This window comes from Homo sapiens, chromosome 14 (assembly GCF_000001405.40).
Source record: "Homo sapiens chromosome 14, GRCh38.p14 Primary Assembly".
NCBI classification, from domain to species: Eukaryota; Metazoa; Chordata; class Mammalia; order Primates; family Hominidae; genus Homo; species Homo sapiens.
In genome coordinates, this window is record NC_000014.9 from 90,150,536 (window position 1) to 90,178,497 (window position 27,962).

General features: G+C 43.8%; 1 protein-coding gene across 1 annotated transcript in view, besides 1 other annotated feature; it reads left to right on the plus strand.

The window, feature by feature from the left end:
- Nucleotides 1–27,962, plus strand: part of KCNK13 (potassium two pore domain channel subfamily K member 13) — a 123,860-nt gene that overhangs the window by 88,542 nt on the left and 7,356 nt on the right. The gene's annotated exons all lie outside the window — the stretch shown is intronic.
- Nucleotides 8,629–9,130: an enhancer, noted in NCBI's record as "NANOG hESC enhancer chr14:90625508-90626009 (GRCh37/hg19 assembly coordinates)". NCBI's record gives its function as "activates a minimal SCP1, AML or CMV promoter by ChIP-STARR-seq in primed H9 embryonic stem cells {active_cell/tissue: H9 hESC(primed)}" and the evidence as "EXISTENCE:reporter gene assay evidence [ECO:0000049][PMID:30033119]".

Below are 27,962 nucleotides of genomic sequence, written 5' to 3' on the forward strand. Positions count from 1 at the left end.
AAATCCAGAGACATATTTGATGAGGCAAAAACCAGCCACATCAGAGAAGGTCTGTCTGATGCACAGGAAGGCAGGTTTCCAGTTTCAGGTGTACATGCTAACAGGAACTTCTTCAAGGAAGCCCATGGTTAGCAGAGTGATATGGTTTGAATTTGTGTCTCTGCCCAAATCGCAAGTCAAATTATAATCCCCAGTGTTGGAGGTGGGGCCTTGGTGGGAGGTGATTGGATCATGGGGGCTTTAGTGCTATTCTTGTGATAGAGATGAGATCTGGTTGCTTAAAAGTGTGTGGCATGAGCCAGATGTGGTGGTGCATTCCTGTAGTCCCAGCTACTGGGGAGGCTGATGTGGGAGGATCACTTGAGCCCAGGAGGCAGAGGTTGCAGTGAGCCAAGATTGCGCCACTATACTCCAGCCTGGGTGATAGAGCAAGACCTTGTCTCAAAAAGAAAAAAAAAGTGTGTGGCACCTCCTCCCTTCTTCCTCCTGTTCACACTTTATGATGTGCCTGCTTCCCCTTCACCTCCCTGATTGTAAGTTTCCTGAGGCCTCCCCAGAAGCCAAGCAAATGCCTGTATACTTCCTGTACAGCTGTGGAACAATGAACCAATTAAATGTCTTTTCTTTATAAATTACCCAGTCTCAGGTATTTCTTTCTAGCAATGCAAGAATAGCCTAATACACAGAGCCTCAAAAGTAACCTATTTTATTTTTTCACATTCCCACCAACAGTGTACAAGAGTTGTCTTTTACCACATCAACGACACTTACCTTTTGGCAGGAATAGCCATCCTAACAGTTGTGAGGTAATATCTCACTGTTGTTTTAATTTGCATTTCCCTGATGATTAGTGATGTTGAGCATTTTTTCATGTAACTCTTGGTGATTTCTATGTCTGCTTTTGAGAAATGTCTGTTCAGGTCCTTTGCCCATTATTAAATTATCTGTTTTCTTGCTATTGAGTTGTTTGAGTTCCTTATGTATTTTGGATATTGGCCCCATATCAGATGTATGGAATAGAAATATTTTCTCTCATTGTACAGGTCATCTTTTTACTCTGATTATTTTCTTTGCTGTGCAAAAACTTTTAGTTTGATGCAATCCCATTTGTCTATTTTTGCTTTTTGTCGCCTGTGTTTTTGGAGTCATATCCAAAAAATCATTGCCAAAACCAATGTCAAGAAACTCTTCTGTGTTTTCTTCTAGTAGTTTTATAGTTTCAGGTCTTAATGTTTAAGTCTTCAACCCATTTTGAGTTGATTTTTATGTATGGTATAAGGGTCCAGTTTCATTCTTCTGAATATCAATATCCAGTTTTCCTAACATCATTTATTGAAGAGACTGTCCTTTTCCCATTGTGCATTCTTGGCACTTTCGTCAAAGATCAATTGACTGTAAATGTGTGGATTTATTTCTGAGATCTCTATTCTATTCCATTGGCCTATATATCTGTTTTTATGTCGATACTGTATTGTTTTGGTTACAGTAGCTGATATGGTTTGGCTTTGTCTCCACCCAAATTTCATGTTGAATTGTAACACCCATAATCCTCACATGTTGTGGGAGGGACCAGATGGGAGGTAATTGAATCATGGGGGCGGGTTTTTCCCATGCTGTTCTCATGGTAGTGAATGAGTCTCACGAGATCTGATGGTTTTATAAAGGGCAGTTTCCCTGCACACATTCTCTTGCCCGCTACCATGTAAGACATGCCTTTGCGGCCGGTGCAGTGGCTCACGCCTGTAATCCCAGCACTTTGGGAGGCTGAGGCAGGCGGATCACCTGAGGTCGGGAGTTCCAGACCAGCCTGACCAACATGGTAAAACCCCATCTCTACTAAAAATACAAAATTAGTTGGGCGTAGTGGCGCACACCTGTAATCCCAGCTACTCAGAAGGCTGAGGCAGGAGAATCGCTTGAACCCGGGAGGTGGAGGTTGTGGTGACCCGAGATCGCGCCATTGCACTGCAGCCTGGGCAATAAGAGCAAAACTCCATCTCAAAAAAAAAAGAAGGGCATGCCTTTGCTCCTCCTTTGCCTTCCACCATGATTGTGAGGCCTCTCCAGCCATGTGGAACTGTGAGTTCATTAAACCTCTTTTTCTTTATAAATTATCCAGTCTCAGGTATGTTATTAGCAGTGTGAGAATGGTCTAATACAGTAGCCTCATAGTCTATTTTAAAATCAGATAGTGTGATACCTCCAGGTTTATTCTTTTTGCTCAAGATTGCTTTGACTATTTGGAGTCTTTAATGGTCCCATATGAATTTTAGGATTGTTTTATAAGTAACCTATTTTAATTGACATAGAGTCTCCCCCTTCAAGGAGGTTTCATTCTATGGGTTTCTGAGGCCTAGGAGATCTGTAGCACAGGATCATGCTGGACTGCATTGTAGTAAGGGCCTGGTCTGGGCCTTGACATTTCCCTAGCTTTGCCCCTCTGACACTCAACTCTGCCCATCCCCATTGCCACCCTGCTGACACTTGCCTGAGCACACCATGCTCTTCCTATGCACTAGAAGTTCCCTGAGCCTGCATTGTTTCTCCTGCAACCCTACCTAGACCACATGTACTGATTCTTCTGGCCTCAGCTCAGACATCCCCTGCCTCCCAGGGGAAGCCTTCTCTGACCTCCCTGACTCTCCTTCCCCTGGCCTTCCCAGACCCTAGTCAGAATTAGGTATTCCTCCCACTGTACTCCCTAAAGCCCCAAGAATAAGTAGGGCTTAGTGATTAAGGCACATTCTTTGGAGTGAGAAAGACTGTAGTTCTCATACTGGCTCTGCTTCTTCCTAGCTGTGTGACCATGAGCAATTTCTTTTACCTCTATAAGTCTCTGTAAAATAGAAACTTAATACCAGTACTATCTATCTCACAGTTTCCTGAATAAAATGATCCATGTAAAAGTTTATAGCACAGAGCCTGGAACCCGGTACATGCTGGATAAATACTAACTGTTGCTGTTATTATCATCACCATAGTTTACTTATCCTTATTTATGAGTCTATTTTCACTATTGCACTTGCAGGCAGGAACTGTGTTTACTTTTTTGTCATGATCTAAGCATATAGCACATAATCTGGCATGCAGTGAATATGCAGTAAATATTGTGGTATGGATGAAGTTTCCATTTATGGAAAGCCCTTGATCTAATGTCATCAGGAGTACTGAAAAGGGATCATGAGAAGAAACATGGGCTGCAGTCTGAAGGCCTCTGAGCTGTGAAGATCAGCTTAGATCTCTCTCGACTTAGAGGCAGGGAGCTGTCTTCAGGCATGGCAGCCACAGCTCTATGTCCTGTGTGCCCAGCCTTTCTCCCAAGAGCGGTGACACCTGGCAGCCCCCATCTGCCCACCAAAGAATGTGCTTAGAGCAGGCCACCTAGCCTCTGTCCTGGCGTCACCAGGTGGTGGTGGGTGGGTCTTGGCATGGATCTTGCCCCCTGATGTGGTTAGTTCCAGTTGGACTCAGCCTCTTATCTGGTCTGCATCTCTGATTGGCCCTATGCTCTGACTTCAGTCAGGATTTTATCCTTTGCTTCTGCCTGACCCTAATTAGGCAGCATGTGCTCTATTTGGTTTGCTCTGAAACTATGAGAATGTTCTGCCCTTGCCAACAGTCCTGAATGATCTCTACCAACACTGAATGTGGGCTTTCCTACAACAGCACCACTTCTACTACCCACAATGCTGTGCTCTCCTACCCATAATGCCTGCTCTTCTACCCACAATGCCTGCTCTCCTACCCACAATGCTGTGCTCTCCTACCCACAATACCTGCTCTCCTACCCACAATGCCATGCTCTCCCACCCATAATGCCTGCTCTCTTAACACACAATACCTGCTCTCCTACCCATAATGCCTGCTCTTCTACCTACAGTGCCATGGTCTTCCACCCATAATGCCTGCTTCTCTACCCACAATGCCTGCTCTACTACCCACAATGCTTGCTCTCTTACCCACAATGCTATGCTCTTTACTAAGCATGTGCTCTACTAGCCTAGCCCATCCTGCAGTCTGTTTCCTGGTCAGCCTGTCCAGCTGCCATTGCGTGATTGGTTACAATGACAGGAGAGGATAAACAGGACCATTCAGACATACTCAGAACTATCAGAGGTATCAATAAGAATGGCTTATAAAAAACCAATCAGTTTGTTTACATAAATGGTTACTTGTAGGTTAAGGACATTTGTAAATCACTTATTCTCTAGATAATTTCAAAATTTTCCCTTGGACACTTGCTTACCCTATTAATTTTATTAATTTAATTAGCTAGCCCTTCCCCTGTGAGATATTGCATTGGCAAATTTAGGTGGGAATAATTGCAAAAGCTGTACAGGAAGAGGTGAAGTTAATCTGACTATGTACTGTATGTACAAATGAAAATAATATTTGTTGAGCCCTTACTATGTTTCAGGCATCATCCTAGGCTCTGAGGATACAGCAGTGAACAAGACAGACAAAAATCTCTGTCCTAGTGGAACATACATTCTAATAGGAGAGACAATAAATAAATATATAAAATATATGGTATATCATACTGGTGATATGTGCTGTAGAAAAATTACAGTAAAGCAGGAAAGAGGGATGGGAGTTTTGAGTTTTCTTTAGGGTGGTTGGGGAAGGCTTCACTGAGAAGGTGGCATTTGAGCAAACACATGAAGAGGTGAAAGGATGAGGCTTGCAGCTATCTGGGGGAAATGCAGAGGAAGCAAGAGGTGCAGCGGGGGCCTGGGATGGAGGAGGAGCAGCAAGGAGGCCATGGAGCCAAAGAGACTGAGTGAACAGTGGAGGGGCTGGAGAAGAATTTAGAGGTAGGATTGGGGAGGGGAAGATTGGGGCAGCTTTGTGGGCTCTTGGAAAGACTTTGGTTTTCACACCAGGTGAATGGGGGCCAATGGAGAGTTTGGGGCTACGGGGTGTGTGATCTGACTTGTTTCTGAAGGATGGCTCTGGCTGCTGCAGGCTAGGGAAGGATAGCTGCAGAGGGACCATTCAGGAGACTCCTACAAGAATTCAGGGAAAACAGAATATTTTGGACTGGAGAGGTAGCAGGAAAGGTGATGAGAAATGGTTGAGTTCTGAATATATTTTGGTAGGTAGAACAAACGGGATCTCTTGATGGATCGGATGTGTCAGAGGAAGAGTACAAGATGACTATTTTATTTTAGTCCTCAACAACTGGAAGGGGAAAGTTGCTATTTTTTGAAAAAAGAAAAACTGTGGGTGGATCAGATTGGAGGGGAAATAAAGGAATTCCATTTTGGACCTGTTAATTTGAGAATCAGTATTACATAGCCAAGTGGAAAAGTAAAACAGGCAGCTGGATGCACGAGTATGGAGTTCGGCAGAATGAGTTCAAACTAGAGATAAAATCTGGAAGACAGGCCAGGTGTGGTGGCTCACACCTGTAATCTCAGCACTTTGGGAGGCCGAGGCAGGCAGATCACTTGAGGTCAGGAGTTCGAGACGAGCCTGGGCAACATGGCTAAACCCCATCTCTACAAAAAATATGAAAATTACCCAGGCATGGTAGCGCACACTTGTAGTCACAGCTACTTGGGGGGCTTGAGGTGGGAGGATCACTTGAGCCCGGTAGGTCGAGGCTGCAGTGAGCCACGTTCGTGCCACTGCCCTCCAGCCTAGGTGACAGAGTGAGAGTCTGGCCAAAAAAAAAAAAAACCTAAAAGACGTCAGCATAGAGATGGTATTTAAAATCATGACACCAAATGATATCATCAAGGGAACGAACAGAGAGAGTGGAGAAGAGGCCCCAGGACTGAGGGATGGGGTGCCCCAATACTTAAAAGACAGAAATATGAAGAAGAGCTAGCAAAGGAGACTGAGAACGAGAAGACAGTGACTTAGGAAGAAAACCAGAGGAGACTTGTGTCTTGGAAACCAAATGAAAAAAATAATTTAGTATGCCAAAGGAGAAGGTTCGAGAATTGAGATGCCAGGCCAGGGTTTTGCAAGGGAGCAATTGATTCTCTGTGAATACTAAAGCCACATAGAATTGTGGCAGGAATAGTGTTGAAGAGAAGGACAACTGTGAGCCAGGGACTGAAATATTCAAGGAACGGGGGCCAAAACAAGGAGGAGCAGCAGGCACATTATATACTCCATTTCACTGAATCTGACCCCCAGTCCTGTGGGGTATTACGATCATCCCATTCCACAGATGAGGCATAGGGGAGGTTAAATACCATATCCAAGGTCCTCGTGTGCATGAGTGGCAAAAGCAAGATGTGAGTCCCTGCTTTTCCCCATGGTGCTCTTCTGCCTCACATGCAGGAGGCCACCTGCTCTCCTTCTGCAAGCTGGAGCCTTCTAGCCCTGACAATATATGTCTCAAGGGTATCTTTCCAGTTGGCTGTACTGGGGTCCAGTCCAGTGGTTATACTTTCTCGTGTTGCATAAATGCATAGGTTTGGATTCTGAATAAACCAGAGTTTATTCTAGGTACAAGTAAACATAGAAAGTGCACTTACTGGAATTCAAGCAGCAAGGAATTTCATATAATCAGACACTCCCATCAATGCTATTTCAAAATAATTTGTGCTTATTTTGATAATTTTGATGTACTGCAAGAATCTGAAATGCCATCTGGACCATCAAAGATAGTTTTAAATATAATCTGGTAAATTTGTGTGATGGGCACATTTTGACATACTTTGATAATTGCACATTTGTATCTACTATCTATTGTAATCCTCAGTTAACCAGAATATTAATTGAACCAAAATTCATTCTGGATAAAAATCTGCTGTACTCGTGCAGGCCCTTTTCATCCCGTTAGAGTCATCCTGTCTTAGTAGTCAAGCACGTTGTAACCACGAAAAAAAAGTGTCGGCATTTATTTAGTTTTTAATCTTTTAGAGATGGAGTCTCACTGTGTCACCCAGGCTGGAGTGCAGTGGTGCAGTCATAGCTCACTGCAGCCTTAAACTCCTGGGCTCAAGAAATCCTCTCGCTCCGGCCTCCCGAGTAGCTGAGACTGCAGGCATGTGGCACCACACCCAGCTAAGTTTTTAAATTTTTTGTAGAGACAGGGTCTTGCTATATTGTCCAGGCTGGTCTCGAACTCCTGGACTCAAGTGATCCTGCCTTGGCCTCCTAAAGTGCTGGGATTACAGGCATGGGCCACCATACCTGGCTTGGCTTTCCTTTTTTTTTTTTTTTTTCAGACAGAGTCTTGCTCTGTCACCCAGGCTGGAGTGCGATGGCCTGATCTCGGCTCACTGCAACCTCTGCCTCCCAGTTCAAGCAATTCTCCTGCCTCAGCCTCCCGAGTAGCTGGGACTACAGGCATGTGCCACCACGCCCGGCTAATTTTTGTATTTTTAGTAGAGATGGGGTTTTGCCATGTTGGCCAGGCTGGTCTCGAGCTCCTGATCTCAAGTGATCCATCCACCTCAGCCTCCCAGAGTGCTGGGATTACAGGTGTGAGCCACTGTGCCTGGCTAGCATTTATTTTTTCGAAGGATCAGATGGCAATGGCAATGAACCCCCGACCTTGGGAACTCCTGCTGGTGGTGCTTGGTCCCATGCCCTGGACTGAGCTGAACAAACCTTCAGGCTGATTGCAGGTTAGAAGGGAGGCGACCACAGCAGGAGCAGACCTGTCAATGGCCCAGAGCCATGGTTGCCCAGAGCTCCAGGGCCTCCTGTGAGAAGCTGGTGAAGATACCAGGGCTGGCCTGGTGTTCCATCTACCCTGACAAGACATGGCCCCAGGGACCACAGATAGACTGTGGGAAATGTCCCCGCACCCATGCCCTCCCAGCTGGTGTCCATCAGGGAAAGAGGTGGAAGAACAAAGATTATTCGTTTATTATCTGTCTCTGATAGGAGAGAGAAAAAAATATGGGCTAAGTCAAAATTCCTAAAAGGAAGCATTCATGACCTGGCCCAGGCCTTGACCTGTAACCGTGGCCACCTCTTGGCCAAGCACTGGGGACCAGAAGGGAAGGGGGGAAAACACCAGGATGGGCACAGTCCTACTTTTGAATGGTTTACAGCCTTGTTTTCATGTTTCTTTTTCTTGGCTCCCAAAAACTGGAGAAAAAATACATTTCAAAGAAGGCTTCCTGGGGTGCAGTGTTTGAGAAGTGAGTAGGTGGGGTAGAGGAGGGAGAAGGTTCCCTTCCTCCCTTCCTGCCTGCCTGCCTTCCTTCTTTCCAAATATTTGACAAACATTGTCCTCGAGTCAAGGTCTCTGTCCTCATGCTGCGTATGTCCTACTGGGGGAGACATGCAAATGTAACAAGACCTAACAAGCAACGTAACCACAGCCTGGGACAGGCCGTAAGAGGAAGGCCTCCTTAGAACTTGACAGTAGTGTTGATTAGCCAGGCTTGTGGGAGTCTGTGGGTCCCCAGTTGGAAGAGGGCACACTTGGGAGCTCCAGAACCCCTCAACCATCATACTGTCTTAGTCCGTTTGTGTTGCTATAACAGGATACCCTAGACTGGGAAGTTTATAATGAACAGAAATGGATTGGCTTGCAGTTCTGGGGCTGGAAAGTCCAAGGTTGAGTGGCTGGCATCAGGCAAAGGCCTTCTTGTTGCATTATCCCTTGGTGGAAGAGCAAAGAGAGGGTGAGAGAGAGCAAGAGATCAAACTCACAACCTCAGGCCCTTTTATAGTCGGCATTAATCCACTGAGAGTGGAGTGCTGATGACCTAAACACTTCCCATTCGGCCCCACCTCCCAACACTGTTGCTTTGGAGACTAAGTTTCCAACACATGTTTTTCCAGAGGTCTATGCAAACCATGACAATAGCTAAGACCTTTCTGCCCTGATTAGAAATCAGAAACGGAGCCAGGACTCAGGGCCTGCCTGTCCTCTCTTTCCAGGAGTCTGCTGCCCTCAGGGCCATAAACACAATCAATCAGGCAGATGGCCTGGGTCTGTCTGTTCTTGATAACTGGTTCTTGTCAAATACAAATGGAAATGCTATTCCAGCTGCAGGAGGGCAAAGGTGTGATTAGATGAGAAATCTCCCAAGGTGTACAATGGAAGACCCAATTAACAGAAAGTGTTACTCAGCAAACACGGGGGCTTGGCACTGTAGATGTCAATCACAGCCTCCCCTTAGAAGGGCAAACTCTTAGAACTCTAAGGCACATATCTAGTGTTTTATCTATATTAGGTTATTTAGTTCTCACAAAAGTCCTACGAGGGTGGTACTGTTAGTATCCTGTTTTATAGATAAAGAAACTGAGACACATAAGAGGTTAAATAATTTGCTTAAGGTTAGAATAATGACCCCACATTGCTGGGGTTTAAATTCCCCCTGTATCCCTTTCTAGATGGGTGTCCTTGGGTGAGTAGTGACAGGGCTGAGATCTGAACCCAGATAGCCTGACTCCAGACTTGGTATTCTTAATAATCGTGTGTGTGTAGGGGTGTGTGTGTGTGTGTGTGTGTGTGTGTGCACATGCATGCATACAGAGGGGGTTGCAGGACAAGCCTCTGCTCCCGAGGAGCTTAAAACTTAACAGAAAATACAAAGTTGTATTGATTAGGCCTTCAGGCTGCGGCAAAAAAGAATATACACAATTTAGAAAGAGAAATTACTTTTCTTGTGAGGAAAGTGAAAGAGAGATATATTCAAGTGTGTTACTGGCCTACAGTAAATACCTAGACATTGACAAAACAACCTGGCACTTTCGAGAAATTCACCTGCTTTCGTTGCCTCAAAACCACTTCTGCAAAGTTAATGGAGTCTTCCTGTTGCACCTGCCCTAACTCCCTTTTGCCTTTGTGAATAAACTCGTCTAGAAGACTCAAAAGCACAAAGAGAGAACCGAGTTTTCATGAACAATTACATGTAATAGTTTAGGGTATCTGGTGTGTGCTGAGCTCATGGCTAAGAGTTCATGAATGACTGTCCCTGTGAGGTCAGGGCCTGTACAAACAGAAAGGGCATTTAGCAAGGGCCTTGAAAGATGAGTACTTATATTTTGGGTGATTTTTTATTTTTGTGTTTGGGTAGATGGAAATGTTAATTTTTTTTCTAATTAGAAATGTAATACTCATGCCTGTAATCCCAGCACTTTGAGAGGCCAAGGCGGGTGGATCACCTGAGGTCAGGAGTTCAAGACCAGCCTGGTCAACATGGTGAAACCCCATCTCTACTAAAAATACAAAAATTAGCCGGGCATGGTGGCAGGCACCTGTAATCCCAGATGCTCTGGAGGCTGAGACAGGGGAATCGCTTGAACCTGGGAGGTGGAGGTTGCAATGAGCCAAGATCGCGCCATTGGACACCAGCCTGGGTGACAAGAGCAAGACTCCAGTTCAGAAAAAAAAAAAAAAGAAAAAGAAAGAAAGAAATGTAATACCTTTCCCCTGCTATCTGCCACTAATAATCAGTTGTGAAAAAATATTAAATATTCTTTTTTAATATGTACCCAAAAGAATTAAAAGCAGAGACTCAAACAGATATTTTCACACCCCTGTTCCTAACAGCATTATTCACAGCCAAAAGGAGGAAACAACCCAAGTGTCCATGGATGGATAAATGGATAAACAAAATGTGGTCTATACATACAATAAAATGTTATGCAGCCATAAGAAGGAATGAAATTCTGATCCATGCTATAACATGGATCAGCCTTGACAACATCATGCTAAATGGAAGAAGTCAGACACAGAAGGACAAAATATTACACGAGCCCACTTATCACTTATATGAGGTACACAGAATAAGCAAGTTTATAGATAGACAGTAGAATAGAGGCTGCCGCAGTGGGGCGAGGGAACAGGGAGTTACTGTTTATAAGCACAGAGACTCTGGGATAATGAAAAAGTTCTGGAGATGGCTAGTGGTGATTGTACACATCATGCATGTACTTACTGCTACTGAACTATACATTTTAAAATGGTGAAAATGGCAAATTTTATATGTATTTTACCACTATAAAAATCAATAATAAGAAAACAACCAAAAATATGTATGGTGGGAGAAAAGATTCCATCTGCAATATCTACAAAAGCTATGAAATGGGAATCAGTGTGACAAGATTTGTGCAGAATTCATATGAAGTAATTACAACATTCTACTAAAGCTCATTTTTAAAAGGTTTCTATAAATGGAGAGACACTGTGTTCCTAGTGGAAAAACTCGGTTTGGTAAGGATGTCATTTCTCCACAAATGAATCTCTAAATGTAAGGCAACCCTAATCACAATCCAAATATCTTTTCTGGAACTTAACCAAATGATTCTAAAGCTCATCAGGAAAATTGAACATGAAATAAGCAAGGGCATCTTTGAAAACAAAAAGGGAAAAGGAGGAGGAAGAGAAGAGAGGTGAGGGAAGAGCCCTCACAAGCATTAAGAAAAGGAGAACAGGGCTGGACGTGGTGGCTCACACCTGGAATCTCAACACTTCAGGAGGCCCAGGAAGGAGGATTGTGTGAGCCCAGGAGTTTGAGACCAGCCTGGGCAATGTAACAAGACCCCGTCTCTACAATACATCAAAAAACTTACCCAGACGTGGCAGTGCGCACCTGTGGTCCCAGGTACTTGGGAGGCCAAGGTGGGAGAATCACTTGAGCCTGGGAGGGCGAGGCTGCAGTGAGCTGTAATTGACCACTGCACTCCACCCTGGGCAACAGAGTCAGACCCTCTCTCAGAAAAAACAAAACAAAACAAAAACAAAAAGGAGAACTGTCTACATTTTTGGTACCAGCCCCAGCATAGGCAATGGATCAATTAAACAAAATATAAAATCCAGAAACAGATGTAAGAATTTTGTCTCTGATAAGTGACATTTCGGGAGAGTGGAGAAAGAATAGACTATTCAGAGATGGTGCTGAAGAGCCTACACATGAGAACTAAAGACACACTAGCACAAGTCCAACAGGGGAAAAGGAAAAAGATCATTGGATTGTATCAATGTCAATATCCTGGTAGTGATATTATGCTGTAGTTTTGCGAAATGTTGCCATTGAGGAAAACTGGGTAAAGTATAAACAGAATCTTTCTGTATTATTTCTTACAACTGCTGTCAGTCTGCAATTATCTCAATAGAAATTTCAATTTAAAATAGTGATAAGAAAAATAAACTTTTTAAAATGTTATGTGCCTGCAATTAACAAGGAATTAAATATTACATTGTTTTTGAAAAGCACAGCCATAAGTGAATACTGGAATATTCCTAGGGTAAGGAAGGAAAGACTTTACTCTCTGTGACCCCAAAAGCCAAGAGCCACAATAAAAGAAATTGATTTACCTAAACAAAAATTAAACTTTAGTGTAGCAGCAAAACATTTATGCACAAATAAAAGACAAACACAAATGGGGAAAATATTTGCAACATATATAGAAGACAAAGGGTTAACGTTCTTAAAAATATGTAAAGAGCTCTTACCAACCAATAAGAAAAACCATAAATACCCTAATAGGAAAGTGGGCTAAAAACATAAGCAGGCAAGTCACAGAAGAAGAAATACAAAAGGCCAGTAAACACATGAAAAATGTAGGCAATGAAGCAGAAACTGCTGGAGAAACAACATGCAAATTCTGGAAGAAATACAGTTTAAGGAAGCTGAGAGGTAATGTCTTATTTACTGATAACAATGAACTCCACATCTGGCATGTAGTAGATGCTTTACTAATGTTTGTTGAATGAATAAGTGGAAATGATGAACACAAATGGCTTGTCAAGGAGAAGGAACATTCCAGATGCAGGTAGGAGAGAAAAGTAGAGTCACAGAACAATCCTTAAGGAAGAGAAACGCAAGTTAGGTGAATTCATTTTAGAGCCTATTTTTGCCAGTAAAACTAGAAATTATGTCATCAGAAGAAAATCCCTTTGTCTCAACTCCCAGAAGCCTGCAGTGAAGACACTCAGATAGGAGAGCCTCTGAGATATGGTTCAGGATTTAAATCATTCTCTTCAGTGCCTTCTGTCTGCCTCTGTAGCTGCTCATTCCTCTTTCTGTTGCCCAATGGATAACAATGACTTCACCCTTTCTTAGCCACATGCTTGAGCCACCAAGTCGGACCCCACTGAGCATAACAGTGTGACTGACACAAAGCACATCAGGTGCAGGATGAACTTGAACTGTGGTTTGCACTGGGTGCTTCACACTTGCTAGCTGAGTTGGCAGTTCCATCTAACTTCACGTTTCTTATTTATTTATTTATTTATTTATTTAGAGACGGAGTCTTGCTCTGTAGCCCAGGCTCAAATGCAGTGGTGCAATCTCGGCTCACTGCAGCCTCCGCCTCCTGGGTTCAAGCGATTCTCCTCCCTCTGCCTCCCGAGTAGCTGGGAGTACAGGCATGTGCCACCACCCCCAGCTAATTTTTGTGTTCTTTTAGTAGAGATGGGGTTTCACCATGTTGGCCAGGCTGGTCTCAAACTGCTGACCTCAAGTGATCCTCTTGCCTCAGCCTCCCAAAGTGCTGGGATTACAGGCATGAGCCACTGTGCTCAGCCCACATTTCTATGTTTAAAAGTCACTTACCAAAGACTCTGGCATTTGGGGTAGCAGCCTGGAGTTCATGGGAGGTGTCTGTCTTCAGTCTCTGTTCCCTTTGTGGAAAAATAAATCCTAATGAATCAGCCCATCCTTTCCCCATGACTAGCTAAAATGCCATTGCGTTACAATATTTTTGAACTTTTCCTCTGCCAGCTCAATTATTATACCCATCCCATGTGTGCCACAAATGTCACAATGCTTTTAAAGAATGGATCTATACTGGCTTTGGCCAAAGGAAAGTTACAACTTCTTTCTGACACTAATAATACTAAAATTAACATTTTTAAGGAAAGGCCCCAAAAGAACCCCCTCAAAGAACCATTTCTTGCAGAACAGTGATTCATTTAGCTATGCCTAGAAGGCGCCTCTAAAAAGAATGAGGTTTCAGTTGTATCTCTTTAAAGACTCTTTTAAAGAAATGGAAGGAAGGGGGAAGGGAAGAAAGAGACTAGAAAAGAAGGAGAGAATGGAGAAGAGAGAAGAAAAACTTAATCTTCTACTAGGGTTGTTCCCTAGAGTTACTGTCATAGCAAATGTGAGGTGTGTGTCAAACATTTCTTGGAGTTTGTAGGTTAATGCAGTATACCTAGTGGTTCAGTAGTACCATAGGAAATTTCATGATTTTGTAGGAAAGAGCTACAGACTGAAAGAACACATACTGTAAATAACACATTTATTTCAAGTCTTTTTGATTCTGTCATTTTGTATCCCTGGGCCATGCTTTATTCTTGACACTTAAGTAAAACCATAAAAGGTGAGAGAACCACTAATCCTTTGTAGGTCTTTGACTTTCAAATGGGATTTCTGGAAGCATGAGGGTCCCACAAATGGGCCTGTATTAGTTTGTTTTTATACTGCTCGTTCATTTCTCACTGTATTTGTTCATTTCACACTGTTCATTTCGCATACCCCTTACCCATGGGTAATTTATACATGCAAAAGGATTTAATGGACTTACAGTTCCGCGTGGCTGAGGAGGCCTCGCAGTCATGGTGGAAGGCAAAGGGGAAGCAAGACATGTCTTACATGGTGGCTGGCAAGAGAGCTTGTGCAGGGAAACTCCCGTTTTTAAAACCATCAGATCTCGTGAGACTTATTCACTATCACAATAACAACCCAGGAAAGACCCACTCCCATGATTCAGTTACCTCCCACTGGGTCCCTCCCACAGCACATGGGAATTCAAGATGAGATTTGGGCGGGGACACGGCCAAACCATATCAGGGCCAAAGAGGCTGCCATGGGGAGAGGGAGAGTGCTGATCAGGGTGGGGCTGGGACCCACCCTAGGCCAAGAAGTACAGCTCATCTTCTTCTGCTTTTTACACCAACGGCCACCTCTCCAGAGGGGCCTTGTGTACCTGTCCTCTGCAGCAAGAAATTCAAAAAGGCAGGCAGATTCAGGTATACTTGGCCCAGAGGTCCATCAAAATAAAGACATAGTCATCATTCTTCAAAATGTCTCAGAGCCAGATTTTCTCACTCACGTTGAAGAAAAGGCACAAAGGCACCTTTCATCGGTTACATGCCTGTGTTGGTAACATTCTACTTAATTGAACCATTTCTTCTCAGTCTGAGGGAGGGCAATTTAGTTCAAGAGAGAACATAATTATATCTGCTTGCTTTTAAGGAATAGTTTCACAATTTTAGAAGTTAAGAAGCACTGGAATTGGGACACCTCCTTGAGATAAGTAAATCACATTGTTTTTCACCTTAAATGAGGGTAAAATCAGAAATAATGACAGCATTTATTGCTTCTAGCATTCATTCCAACCATCATCCTGGCTGACCGTGAGGAGGGAAAGCTTGTGAAAGCAGAAAACACAGCACTAAATGCCCCCAAGATGCAGTGACTCTCAGGGAAATGAAACGTTTTGAATTCCTCTTCGCAAGCTGATGCACTCTGATTCCCATGCAGCCGATTTTTGTTATTTCTGAGTGCAAGAACTACTGTGATTTGTAGTAATGCAGATGATTTAAAGAGTCTCTATTTATCATACCCTCGTTTTCAGCTTATACAGTTAGAATAGCTGTAATTTATTTTTCACTTATAAACTACTTGTTGCTGAAGAGTCTAGAAACATCCCCATAGTTCAGAAGTTACCTGGAAAACAGTTTAATCTGTGCTACATTCATAATCTTTTGTCAGAGATGCTTTACTGTTATGGAAATGAGAGAGGAGTCATAACCCTAAAAATATCAAATTCCAAGAATATCTGTAACTTTGGGAAGAACTGTATTGATAGCGGTAACCGCTGCAAAATGATAGCTCAAGCACAGAGTGGAAATACGTTCCCTTTGGCTTACCTGGCAAATTTTAATATGCTTTAAATCAGCCTGTAACATATTTTTTAGTTGAGAAGTGTTACAGATAGAAATTTTCTTTGGGTTGCCGGGCGCAGTGGCTCACGCCTATAATCCCAGCACTTTGGGGTGCTAAGGCGGGCAGACCACCTGTGGTCAGGAGTTCAAGACCAGCCTGGCCAACATGGAGAAACCCCATCTCTACTAAAAATACAAAAATTAGCCAGACGTGGTGGCAGGCACCTATAATCCCAGCTACTTGGGAGGCTGAGGCAGGAGAATCACTTGAACCTGGGAGGTGGAGGTTCCAGTGAGCCAAGATCACACCACTGCACCCTAGTCTGGGCGACAGAGCAAGACTCTGTCTCAAAAAAAAAAAAAAAGAAATTTTCTTATTTATTTGGGTAGACTGTGGGTCTACCTGCCTGGCCTGTGGAAGGAGAGCTGCAGAGGCAGGGTGAGTCCTCCCCAGAATCCTGGGATGATGGCATGAGCAGAATGAGCTCTGATTGGTGCCCTGCACACACACACCCAAATCACAGAATATTGACATTGGAAGGTCCTTAGACCTCATCTGGAACACCCTATCCTCATTTTACCAAAGGGACAACCAGAATAAGTTGTGGGCATGACACAGTGAGGTTATTAACTGGGTCTGCACTAGCACCCAGGCCCTAACTAGCTAGCTACATGACTTTGAGCAAGTTACTTAACCTCTGTGTACTTCAGATTTCTCAAGTGTAAAAGGGGGATGAAGGGTTCCCACCTCTCAAGGTTGGCATGAGGATTATGGGAAGCACCAAACTCAGTGCCTGGCTCTGAAAATCGGGCACAGACTGTCATCATGACTGTCCTCATTATGGCACAATTCTGACAGTCAAACAGCTTTGTGCTTAGGGACCTAGAGAGGTTTAACCCTCGTATCGCAGTCATGAACCAAAAGCCCAGGAGCGAAGGAAGAACTTCCCAAAGACGATCTATTTTCATTGCTTTTCTCACCACCAGGTAACACAGATATAAAGAGTACAGTTATCCTGGAAGCATAACATTTATTGAGTTACTTAATTGCCAGTCCTCCTTTGGTCTATTAAATCATGGAGCAACGCTGTCTTGAATGGAAAACTCCAGAACAGTGATTCTCCTGCTGTAGGGTAATCATTGTTCTAAATGCAGGGAACTGGATTCAATCCCAGACATGCTGATTTGTAGGTAAGGCTCAGGAATCTGCATTTAAACAAGTTCCTCAGATGGTTTTGATACCAATGGTTAAGGTGCCACACTAGAAAACACTGCCTAGAACACTGGGGACCCAGGCCTGCTCATTCGCTGAGGCAGTCCACCAAGCTAGCAAACACCCCTGCCGAAAGCTGGTTCGGAAGTGACTGCCTCAATCCTCTATCACATTGCTGCATCTCCCTCTTCCTCTGCTACCCCCACCCCCTGCCAATAATCCCAAACCTCATTTTACAAAAATAAACTGGGACTAGCACCTGCCTGGCTCACATGACAGGAGGTGTATTGGCTGGGAAGAAACACTTTCCTCTCTTCACTTCCTTTATCAACATGTAGGAAGTAGAAGGTCCTTGAATACTTTGGAAGTCAGTTCCATCCAAAGGAAGAGTAAGGAGCAACTATTTTCCTGTCGGCCACAAGGCCCCACGGTTAACCCAGAACTTCTGAAGACAGCTCATTTTACGTACTGTACCATCTGAAATGTTTTCTGCATCACATACTAACATACAAAACAAGTGAGGGGCGGGGTGTGGTGGCTCACTACTGTAATCCCAGCACTTTGGGAGGCTGAGGCAGGCAGATTGCTTGAAGCCAGGAAGTCGAAGCCAGCCTGGACAACATGGCAAGACCCCATCTCTATAAAAGATACAAAAATTAGTCAGGCATGGTGGTGTGTGCCTGTAGTCCCAGCTACTGAGGCTGAGGTGGAAGGATTGCTTGTGCCCAGGAGGTTGAGGCTGCAGTGAGCTGAGGTCACACCACTGCACTTCAGCCTGGGCGACAGAGTAAGACCTGTCTCAAAAAAAAAAAAGTGAGGGTTGCTTTTGCTTCCAGGACCCCAGAGATATTGTTATCCTTTGCTGGGTTTTGTTGGGGAATAGGGACACCATTCTTTAGACTCTTCCCCAGGCACACTTGACTTTTGTTGCCTTCCACAAACCAACACTGTCTACCCCAGTGCCATGACTCTAGCTCGTAGGTATTTCCCTGAGTGAGGTCTGTGGCCATTGCATCAGATCACTATTAGGCACTGGTTTAAAATGCATGTTTTCTGGTCCTACTCAACCTCCTGAATCAGACTATCTGGTGATAAGGCCTAGAAATCCCAGTTTTTAACAAGCTCCTCAGGGGATTTCTTGGCATACTAAAGTTTAGGACCTTTGTCCCAGGTGATCTAAGTTTCCTTCTACCTTATTCACTGACATGGTTTGTCTGTGTCACCACCCAAATCTCACCTTGAATTGTAATAATCCCCACGTGTTAAGGGTGGGGCCAGGTGGAGATAATTGAATCATGGAGGGGGCCATTTCCCCCATACTGTTCTCACAGTAGTGAGTAAGTCTCATGAGATCTGATGGTTTTATAACCTCTGGCCTGCCACCATGTAAGACATGACTTTGCTCCTCATTCACCTTCCACCATGATTGTGAAGCCTCCCCAACCGTGTGGAGCTGTGAGTCAATTAAATTTCTTTCCTTTATAAATTACCCAGTCTCAGGTATGTGTTTATTAGCAGCGTGAGAACAGACTAATAATACATTCACCTTTTATATGCAGTATAAAAGTTAATTTTTATAAACTAAAAAGTTAATTTTTAAATACTGCAAATAAAGATGTGATCAGATCTTCCATCCTCTCTGAAGCTTGGCAGAAGTTTTTATGAAGTTTTAAGAAGTTTTATTTTGGGCATATATCTTTGGTGTCATCTGCAGGTGACTCAGAAGAGGTGTTGACTTGATTTTGTACACTGCCTTGTGCAGGTCGCCTTCTTGTGTGTTATTTCTAGTACTTTATTTCCTGGATCAGGTTTGAAACTCCTGGAGGGCAGAAACTATCGTCTCACTACTACCTCCTCTCCTTGCTGTCAACACAGTGTTTGAAACCTACGGAATACTCAATGCTGCCTTATTTGATTGTCACAGCAGCACTTTCCTTGCATGCCTCTCTCAACATGAGAAACGAGGATTTCCCAGAGGAAGTCAGCTTTGATGGGGAACCCCTGCCCCTCATATGGTAAACGTTTATCTCTAAGCATTTTCTTTAGGATATTCATAGAACTTTATCTGCAGACGGGCTCTCAGTAGCCTGTGAAGTACAGATGCCCCCTGGACCTCTCCATGGGCCTCCTCCCTCTCCACATAACTCCTAGCATACATATCCCGAGGTACTTACTTGTCCCGGTCTCTCCTTACCTTAAGTTTCTTTAAGGGACTCTCATCACCACTCTGGCACTCCCAAAAGTTAGGTTTTTTAAAATTTCTAACATTCTGTACTTTCTTCTTCTGCCGGGGGCAGAGATGATTTTAAGGAACAGCCTCCAACTGAGGGCAGGGGTAGGAGGAAGAGAGCATTCTACTGTTGATAAATATTTGGCTGCTTCCCAAATTGGGCTATAAGAATAGTGTTTCCACAAACTTTTTTGTACATGTCTTTTTGAGATGAAGCAGGGATCCCTCTTAGGAGCCTGCTGGCCCACTCCCAAACCCACAAGCATGGAAATAAAAGAAAATAATTGAGTTCCTTCAGGGGAAATTCCAGGTACCTAGGTACCCCTGAGAAGTAAATCATCCAAGCATTTAACTAAGAGAAGATTTTACCCATATGATTGTCAATCAAAAAAAAAAATTACAAGCCTCAATCATTTTATTATTTATTTATTTTGAGACAGAGTCTCACTCTGTTGCCCAGGCCAGAGTGCGGTGGTGCAATCCCAGCTCACTGCAACCTCCACCTCCCAGGTTCAGGTGATTCTCCTGCCTCAGCCTCCCAAGTAACTGGGATTACAGGTGCCCACCACCACACCCAGCTAATTTTTGTATTTTTAGTAAAGACACGGTTTCTCTGTGTTGGCCAGGCTGGTCTCCAACTCCTGACCTCAGGTGATCCACCCGTCTCAGCCTCCCGACGTGCTGGGATTACAGGCGTGAGCCACCGCACCTGGCCTCAATCATTTTAAGAGATTTATTTGCCAAAGTTAAGCATGCGTGCCAGGGAGACAGGTCTATGCCTTTCTCTGAAGATGATTTTGAGGGCTTCAAATCTAAAGGGGAAGGGCGGGATATTGAGAAGTATACAATTTTCCTGTAAGAGTAGGATAGGGAAAAAATAGACATTCATGCCTTTGTCTGGCTCAATGAATCTGTATGTTTTACATAAGATGACGTAAACAAATGGGGCAGAGGAAAAATGCAGGGAATCTGCATTTTCTGTCAGATAGCATAGACAAAATGGGGCAGGGGAACAATCAGATATGCATTTGTGTCTGTTGGACAGGGCTGACTGCACCTGTAAAGATAAGCTATCAATTTGCATTGCTGTGGTGAAATTTTAACAGCTCACTAGGAATTTCCTTGTGGGCAAAATATGGGGGAGGATGTAGCTTTTCATCTTGTAGCCATCTTATTTAGGAACCAAAAGGCAGAGGCAGGTTTGCCGGACCCAGTTCCCAGCTTGACTTTTCCCTTTGGCTAAATGAGTTTGGGGTCCCAAAATTTAATTTCCTTTCACATAATCTCCTGGTAAATACCAGTTCACTTGCCTAATCGTGTCACCAATCCCTACAGCTCATTTCCAGCTAGGTGAGAAAGGAGACAGACCTGCTGAGCCCCTCCTTGGGGAGGCTCTTCTCTGTAGGGCTGAGACTGCTAAGCAACAGATTTATTCTGTACACAGGAGCCCCAAGGCACATGGGTAGACTATGAAGGAAAACTCATAGAGGCCAGAGAAGGCCAGTTTCACATCCCATTATTCCTTCTTGGTAATTTTCCAGTGGTGTTTGTGAAGAAGGAACGATGTCAAAGGAGAGATATCCTTACCTTGATTTTCATAATTCATAAAGACTGCTTTTTTGATTTGTATAAAGCAGATTATGATTGTGGACCCTGAACATGTGAGACATGTCTAAGTTAATTTAGAAAGTTTATTTTGCCAAGGTTGAAGACACGTGCCTGTGATGCAGCCTCAGGAAGTCCTGACGGCATGTGCCTAAGGTGGCTGGGGCACAGCTTGGTTTTATAAATTTTAGGGAGACATGAGACGTCAATTAATATATGTCTGGAAAAGTGGGACAACTTAAGCAAAGGCAGGAAGAATGGAAGTGGGGAGGGAGCTTCCAAGTCATAGGTAGGTGAGAGACAAATGGTTACATTCTTTTGAGTTTCCGATTAGCCTTTCCAAAGGGAAGCAATCAGATATGCATCTATCTCAGTGAGCAGAGGGGTGACTTTGAATAGAATGAGAGGCAGGTTTGACCTGAGCAGTTCCCAACTTGACTTTTCCCTTTAGCTTAGTGATTTGGGGGCCCCAAGATTTATTTTCCTTTCACATGATGAACACAAACATGGAGCAATGTGAAATTTCACAGAGACAAAACTAAGTTCTGTCTACTGGCATCATTCTGTCTTGCAGAACTCAGTGGGCAGTGTTCTTGATGGGAAAAAATTGACTTTATAAAGTTATAGAAGGGGCCAGGCGTGGTGGCTCACACATGTAATCCCACCGCTTTGGGAGGATTAGGTGGGCAGATCACCTGAGGTCAGGAGTTCCAGACCAGCCTGGTCAATATGGTGGAACCCCGTCTCTACTAAAAATACAAAAATTAGCTGGCTGTGGTGGCAGGTGCCTGTAATCCCAGCTACATGGGAGGTTGAGGCAGGAGAATTGCTTGAACCTGGGAGGTGGAGGTTGCAGTGAGCCGAGATAGTACCTCTGCACTCTATCCCGGGTGATGGAGCCAGAGTCTATATCAAAAAAAAAAAAAAAAGTGATAGAAGGGCTTGGAAAAGGATTTTGAGTCACCAGCTTGTACCCTTGCCTTAGATTTATAGGTGTACAGGAGTTCCTCGAGGGCGAGGTGACCGAAATTGTTAATTTCCTACGGAACATGTAAGCCTTTGGTGCACAACTATAGCTTTCGATTATAGGATCCAAACCCTGGCTTGTCAAATTTGAATCCTGATACAGTGTTAACATGAGCATGTTCTGGTGTTATTGTATTGTCTGAGTGGTAACTTAACCATAAAACACTTCAGTGTAAAGTGTTACACTGATGTGATTGTATTGTTCTGGTGTTATATGAGTGGTCACTTACCATAAAACACTTCAGCATAGAGTGTTATAAGTGTGTGGGTTTGCATAAGTTCACTTCAATTTATACCTGAGAGGCAATTGGCCATGCAAGTGTCTATTTTGGAATCCATTCTAAAGAGGTTACTATTAAGCACGATCAACATTGTCATCAGAATCTGCACCACAGAGTGAATTGGCTAGGGTAAAAAAAAAGCTAGAAATAATTTTCAATCAGAGAAATGAGTGTTGTGAAAGATAAAAGGCTGGCCAAGCAGATTGTGTGAAACCCACTGCCCTTGCATGAATGAGGCAGTAAATTCACCCAGCAAACCTGCCCCCTTCCAAGCCTCACTCAAGGCCTAGAGCTTCAATATTTCTATGTCACCTAGAAATCAATAATAAACAAGAGAAATGGCCAAAATAAGTGAGCAGGTGCTAAAGAGAATATTCAAATTACCGTGAAACCTATGAAAAGATGTTCAACTTGATTAGACATGAAGGAGATGCGAATGAAAACCACTATGTATCCACCAAAATAGTTACAATGAATATCAGCGAGAATATGAAGAATATACTAGGTGTGGTGGCTCATGCCTGTAGTCCCAGCTACTTGGGAGGCTGAGGCAGTAGGATCACCTGAGCCCAGGAGTTTGAGGCTGCAGTGAGCTATGATTGCACCACTGCACTCCAGCCTGCGTGACGGAGTGAGACCCCACCTCTAAAAATTCAAAAAGAATATGAAGAATATGAACTGAAGCTCAAACTTTGATGAGGGGAGGGTAAATTTGTACATCCACTTTGCTGAACATATTCATATTATGTGAGTCATCAATTGCATTCATAAGTGTATGTATCCAAGAGAAATATGTACATATGGTCACCAAAATGTTATCGAACTGAACTGGGGTCCACTTGCCAGGTGCAGTAAGGCCAGATATCCACACCAGGGTTTGAAATGGGGAGAAAGGAGGGTGTTTGTTTGCAGGGCACTAAACAAGGAGAATCAGGCAGCTCAGGCTTAAGACCCAAACTTCCCAATGGCTTGCAAGCAAGGGAAAATTTCAGGAAAGTAGAGGTTACAAGCAGAATTGTAAGTCAATACATGAAGATTATACATTGGTTTGGCCTAAAAGGGCAGGATATCTTGAAGCAGGGGCTTACAGATCATAGGTAGTGTATTAGTCCGTTTTCACACTGCTATAAAGAAACACCTGAGACTGGATAGTTTATAAAGAAAAGAGGTTTAATTGACTCACAGTTCTGCATGGCTGAGAAGGCCTCAGGAAACTTAAAATCATGGCAGAAGGGGAAGCAGGCACATCTTACATGGCAGCAGGCAAGAGAAAGTGCAAAGAGGGAAGAGTCCCTTATAAAACTGTCAGATCTCGGCCAGGCGCAGTGGCTCATGCCTGTAATCCCAGCACTTTGGGAGGCCGAGGCGGGCGGATCATGAGGTCAGGAGATGCAGACCATCCTGGCTAACATGGTGAAACCCTGTCTCTACTAAAAAAATACAAAAAAAATTAGCCGGGTGTGGTGGTGGGCACCTGTAGTCCCAGCTACTCATGAGGCTGAGGCAGGAGAATGGCGTGAACCTGGGAGGTGGAGCTTGCAGTGAGCCGAGATTGTGCCACTGCACCCCAGCCTGGGCAACAAGAGCGAGACTCTGTCTGAAAGACAATAAAAAATAAATAAATAAATAAAACCATCAGATCTCATGAGAACTCCCTCACTATCATGAGAACAGCATGGAGGAAACTGCCCCCATGATCCAATCACCTCCCACCAGGTCCCTCCTTTGACACGTGGGGATTATAATATGAGGTGACATTTGGGTGGGGACTCAGAGCCAAACCATATCACGTAGATTCAAAGATTTTCCAATTTGCAATTACTTAAGGAAAAGAAGCTTTATTTAAAAACTGGAGGTCAGGCCGGGCATGGTGGCTCACACCTGTAATCCCAACAGTTTGGGATGCCAAGGCTGGCAGATAGTGCTTGAGCCCAGAAGTTTGAGACCAGTCTGGGCAACATAGTGAGACTTCATCTCTACAAAAAATCCAAAAATTGGTTTTGTTTGGTATTGTAAACCAATAGTCCCAGCTACGTAGGAGGCTGAGGCAAGAGGATTGTTTGAGCCTAGGAGGTTGAGGCTGCAGTGAGCCGTGATCACACCATTGCACTCCAGCCTGGGTGACAGAGCAAGACCCTGTTTCAAAAAAATTAAATAAATAAATAAATAATAAATAAAATAAAATAAAAATTTAGGGTCAGCAGAGAAGAATGTTAGCTCTGGCTAATGGGCATAACCTCCTCCAGGATGCTCAGGAAGAACTTTAGAACAAAGGATAGCACTCAGAGTTCAGTCCTCAGCTCCCCCTTATCTGAGATGTACATGACAGTGGATCCATTTGGTGGGGGACCAGGTTTCTGAAAAACAACTCGGAGACATATATTAAGATGTTATCTTTAGTTTCTATAGGGAACCAAAAACCTTGTGACTTCAGCTTCCTTAGCTATTGTTTTAAGCTACTACTCCCTTCTTGGTCATCAAGTTGCTCATTTACTTCTCAGGGGTACCTAGGTACCTGGAATTTCCCCTGAAGGAACTCAAGATTTTCCTTTATTTCCATGCTTGTGGGTTTGGGAGTGGACCAGCAGGCTCCTAAGAGGGGTCCCTACTTCATCTCAAAAAGACATGTACAAAAAAGTTTGTGGAAACATTATTCTTATAGCCCAATTTGGGAAGCAGCCAAATATTTATCAACAGTAGAATGCTCTCTTCCTCCTACCCCTGCCCTCAATTGGAGGCTGTTCCTTAAAAATCAAACAGGTTCAACAGCCTGCTTGATTTACAAGTTGAACCTCCATTAAATTCCACATACCTTGCAAGGCCTCCTCTTGAAGCCCCTTTAAGTCCCTCACACCTAATTTTCAATGGAAAATGGAGCAGGGAGCTGAAGAAGAGGAGGAAGATAGAGGGAAACAGGTGCCTGTTGAAAACACTGAAAGTCCCAGACAGAAGATATTTCATTATCCATCGCTGTGTGGCAAACCTCCCCAAGTGAGTGGTTTGACCAACCATGGGTGTTTCTCACAATGCTGTGAATTTCCTGGGCTCAGCTGGCAGTTCTTTGGCTCAACTCAGTGTCAACTGCTGACTCTTGTGACTGCATCCAGCTGTAGCCTTGGCTTGGGCTTTACTCAGTACCTGGCACTAGGAATCCAGTCATCTAGGAATGGCTGGGCCTGTCTCTCCAGCTGAGTGGTCACCCTTCTTACGTGGTGTCTAGGGGATCCAGAGAGAGGAAGCTGAAGTTCCTAAGCTTCTGACAGCCTAAGCCTGGAACTAGTACAGCATCGCTCCCACCATATTCTGCTGGTCAGAGCAAGTCTCAGGGTCATCCAAGATTCAAGGAGAGAGGAAATAGGCTTCATCTCTTAATGGGAAAAACAGCAAGTGCTTACAAGGATGGGAGCAATTTGTTTGAAATCATCTTTGGAACCTATGTACCACAAGCAACAGGAGGAGAGGAGAGAAGTCTGCATTGCAGACATGGGATCTGAATTTAGCCAAGCCTCCACAACCTGTGAAGATTGCCTGGCTTATTGAAGCTTCAGTTTCCCCACCGATAACTTGAAAAGCTTGGACTAGAATGTCATGAAGTCTGTCCAGCTTTGAGAGTTGTGGTTTCATAATCCACATAAATACAATGGGCCCAGTGAGGACCCAGGGCCTCCTGCTGATCTTCTAAGTCTTCCATCATTGAACCCACTTCCCATCCCCCACCTCACCCCTCAAGAATAATCCACAGGAGTCTGTTCTTGCCTCCTTTCTTCATCCCAGTTGACATTGGAGGGGCTTTTTACCAAAAAAAAAAAGTCTGCCAATTCTTTTGTAGTTTCATCCCACATGAGAAGGCTTAAACTGTTAGCATCAAAAAGATTGTGGGAAAGTATATGCAAGTCAAGCTTTGGTTCCTCGGAGTATTGAGAAGAATGAATCAAGAGGTATGCTGCAGGTATCTGTGCAGGTGTTTGACTGCAACTTGAGAAAACCTGCTGAGAAACATATTTTTCTCAGTTTAAAAATAATGAAAGAGGCCTGGCTCAGTGGCTCATGCCTGTAGTCCCAGCACTTTGGGAGGCCGAGGCAGGTGGATCACGAGGTCAAGAGATCAAGACCATCCTGGCCAACGTGGTGAAACCCTGTCCCTACTAAAAATACAAAAATTAGCTCGGCATGGTGGCATGCGCCTGTAGTCCCAGCTACTCGGGAGGATGAGGCAGAAGAAGCACTTGAACCCAGGAGGCGGAGGTTGCAGTGAGCCAAGATCACACCACTGCACTCCAGCCTTGCGACAGAGCGGGACTCCATCTCAAAAAATAAAATAAAATAAATACAAGAATTAACCAGGTGTGGTGATGCAACCTGTAATCCCAGCTACTTGGGAGGCTGAGGCAGGAGAATCGCCTGAACCTGGGAGGTGGAGGTTGCCATGAGCTGAGATCACGCAACTGCACTCCAGCCTGAGTAGCACAGTGAGATCCTATCTCAAAAAAAAGAAAAGCAGTAATGAAAGAGGCTGGTCTGAAGGTAGTGAGTTATTTCAATTGATTGTTCACAGTTACAGATAGCACTCTTTGTTCTACTCCTTCCCCCATTCTCACTACTGCACTTGGCTAGTCTTTAAAAAAAAAGTAATGAAAGATAAAACATTAGAAAATAATTAAATCATTTGTGTTATCATCACCTCGAAATAACCTGATTGAAAATTTCGTGTATTTTTCCCCCCTTTTCTATGTATGTCCGTGGCAGACATTGTCATTTCTGAGGTCCATCTCTTCCCCCAAGGGAATCTGATGAATCCTGACCAGAGGAATCTTTCCTCTTATAGATAATTGGTTTTCGGAGTATGCATGTAACTTGGGCTGGTCAGTGGTATATAATGGCAATTTTGCCAAAGGATTTCTGGAAAGGATACACAAAGTAGGAAACCATTTTTCTGACTCTGGACACTGGTGTGTGAAGGAGTGGTTCCTGTAACTCTTGGTATGAAGGGAGCCAGCTGACATGGTGATGGGGCCAGAGCTGGGAAGGAGTCGGTCTTGATTCATGCATCATATTCTAAAGTCACCATATTAACCATCCCTGGAGCTGCCCTCTCTCTCAATTTCATGTTCTAGGAGCTAGCCCCTGCATGTTTAAGCCACCTCTATTTATGATTTGCTGTTCCTGGCAGCCAAAAGCATTTTAATTGCTGCAGTATATAGCTACATAAATATATTTTACAAAGTTTATTCCTTCATCCAACAAATATTTAATGAGGATGCCCCATATGTCAGGCGTGACTCATGCTGCAGACACACTGCAGACACACAAAGTTGCTCTGCTTTTTTCCACTTAACATTTTCACCAGTCATTGAGAACTCTTTAGATACACAATTTTAATGGCTACTTGATTTAGTCATTTCCCCATTATCTGATATTTAGGTTGCTGAGGATTTTCATCATTAAAAGTAAAGACATGGTGAACATCCATGTGCATAATTGGTCACATTAGTCATAATTTGGGAGACATATTCCTAAAAGCAAAAAAAAAAAAAAAAAAAAAAAAAGGATACCCTGATGTGATTATTATTATTTTTATTTTTTATTTTTATTTTTTTTGAGATGGAGTCTCGCTCTTGTTGCCCAGGCTAGAGTGCAATGGCGCAATCTCATTTCACTGCAAACTCCACCTCCCGGGTTCAAGTGATTCTCCTGCCTCAGCCTCCGGAGTAGCTGGGATTACAGGCATGTGCCACCACCCCGGCTAATTTTGTATTTTTAGTAGAGGAGGGGTTTCTTCATGTTGGT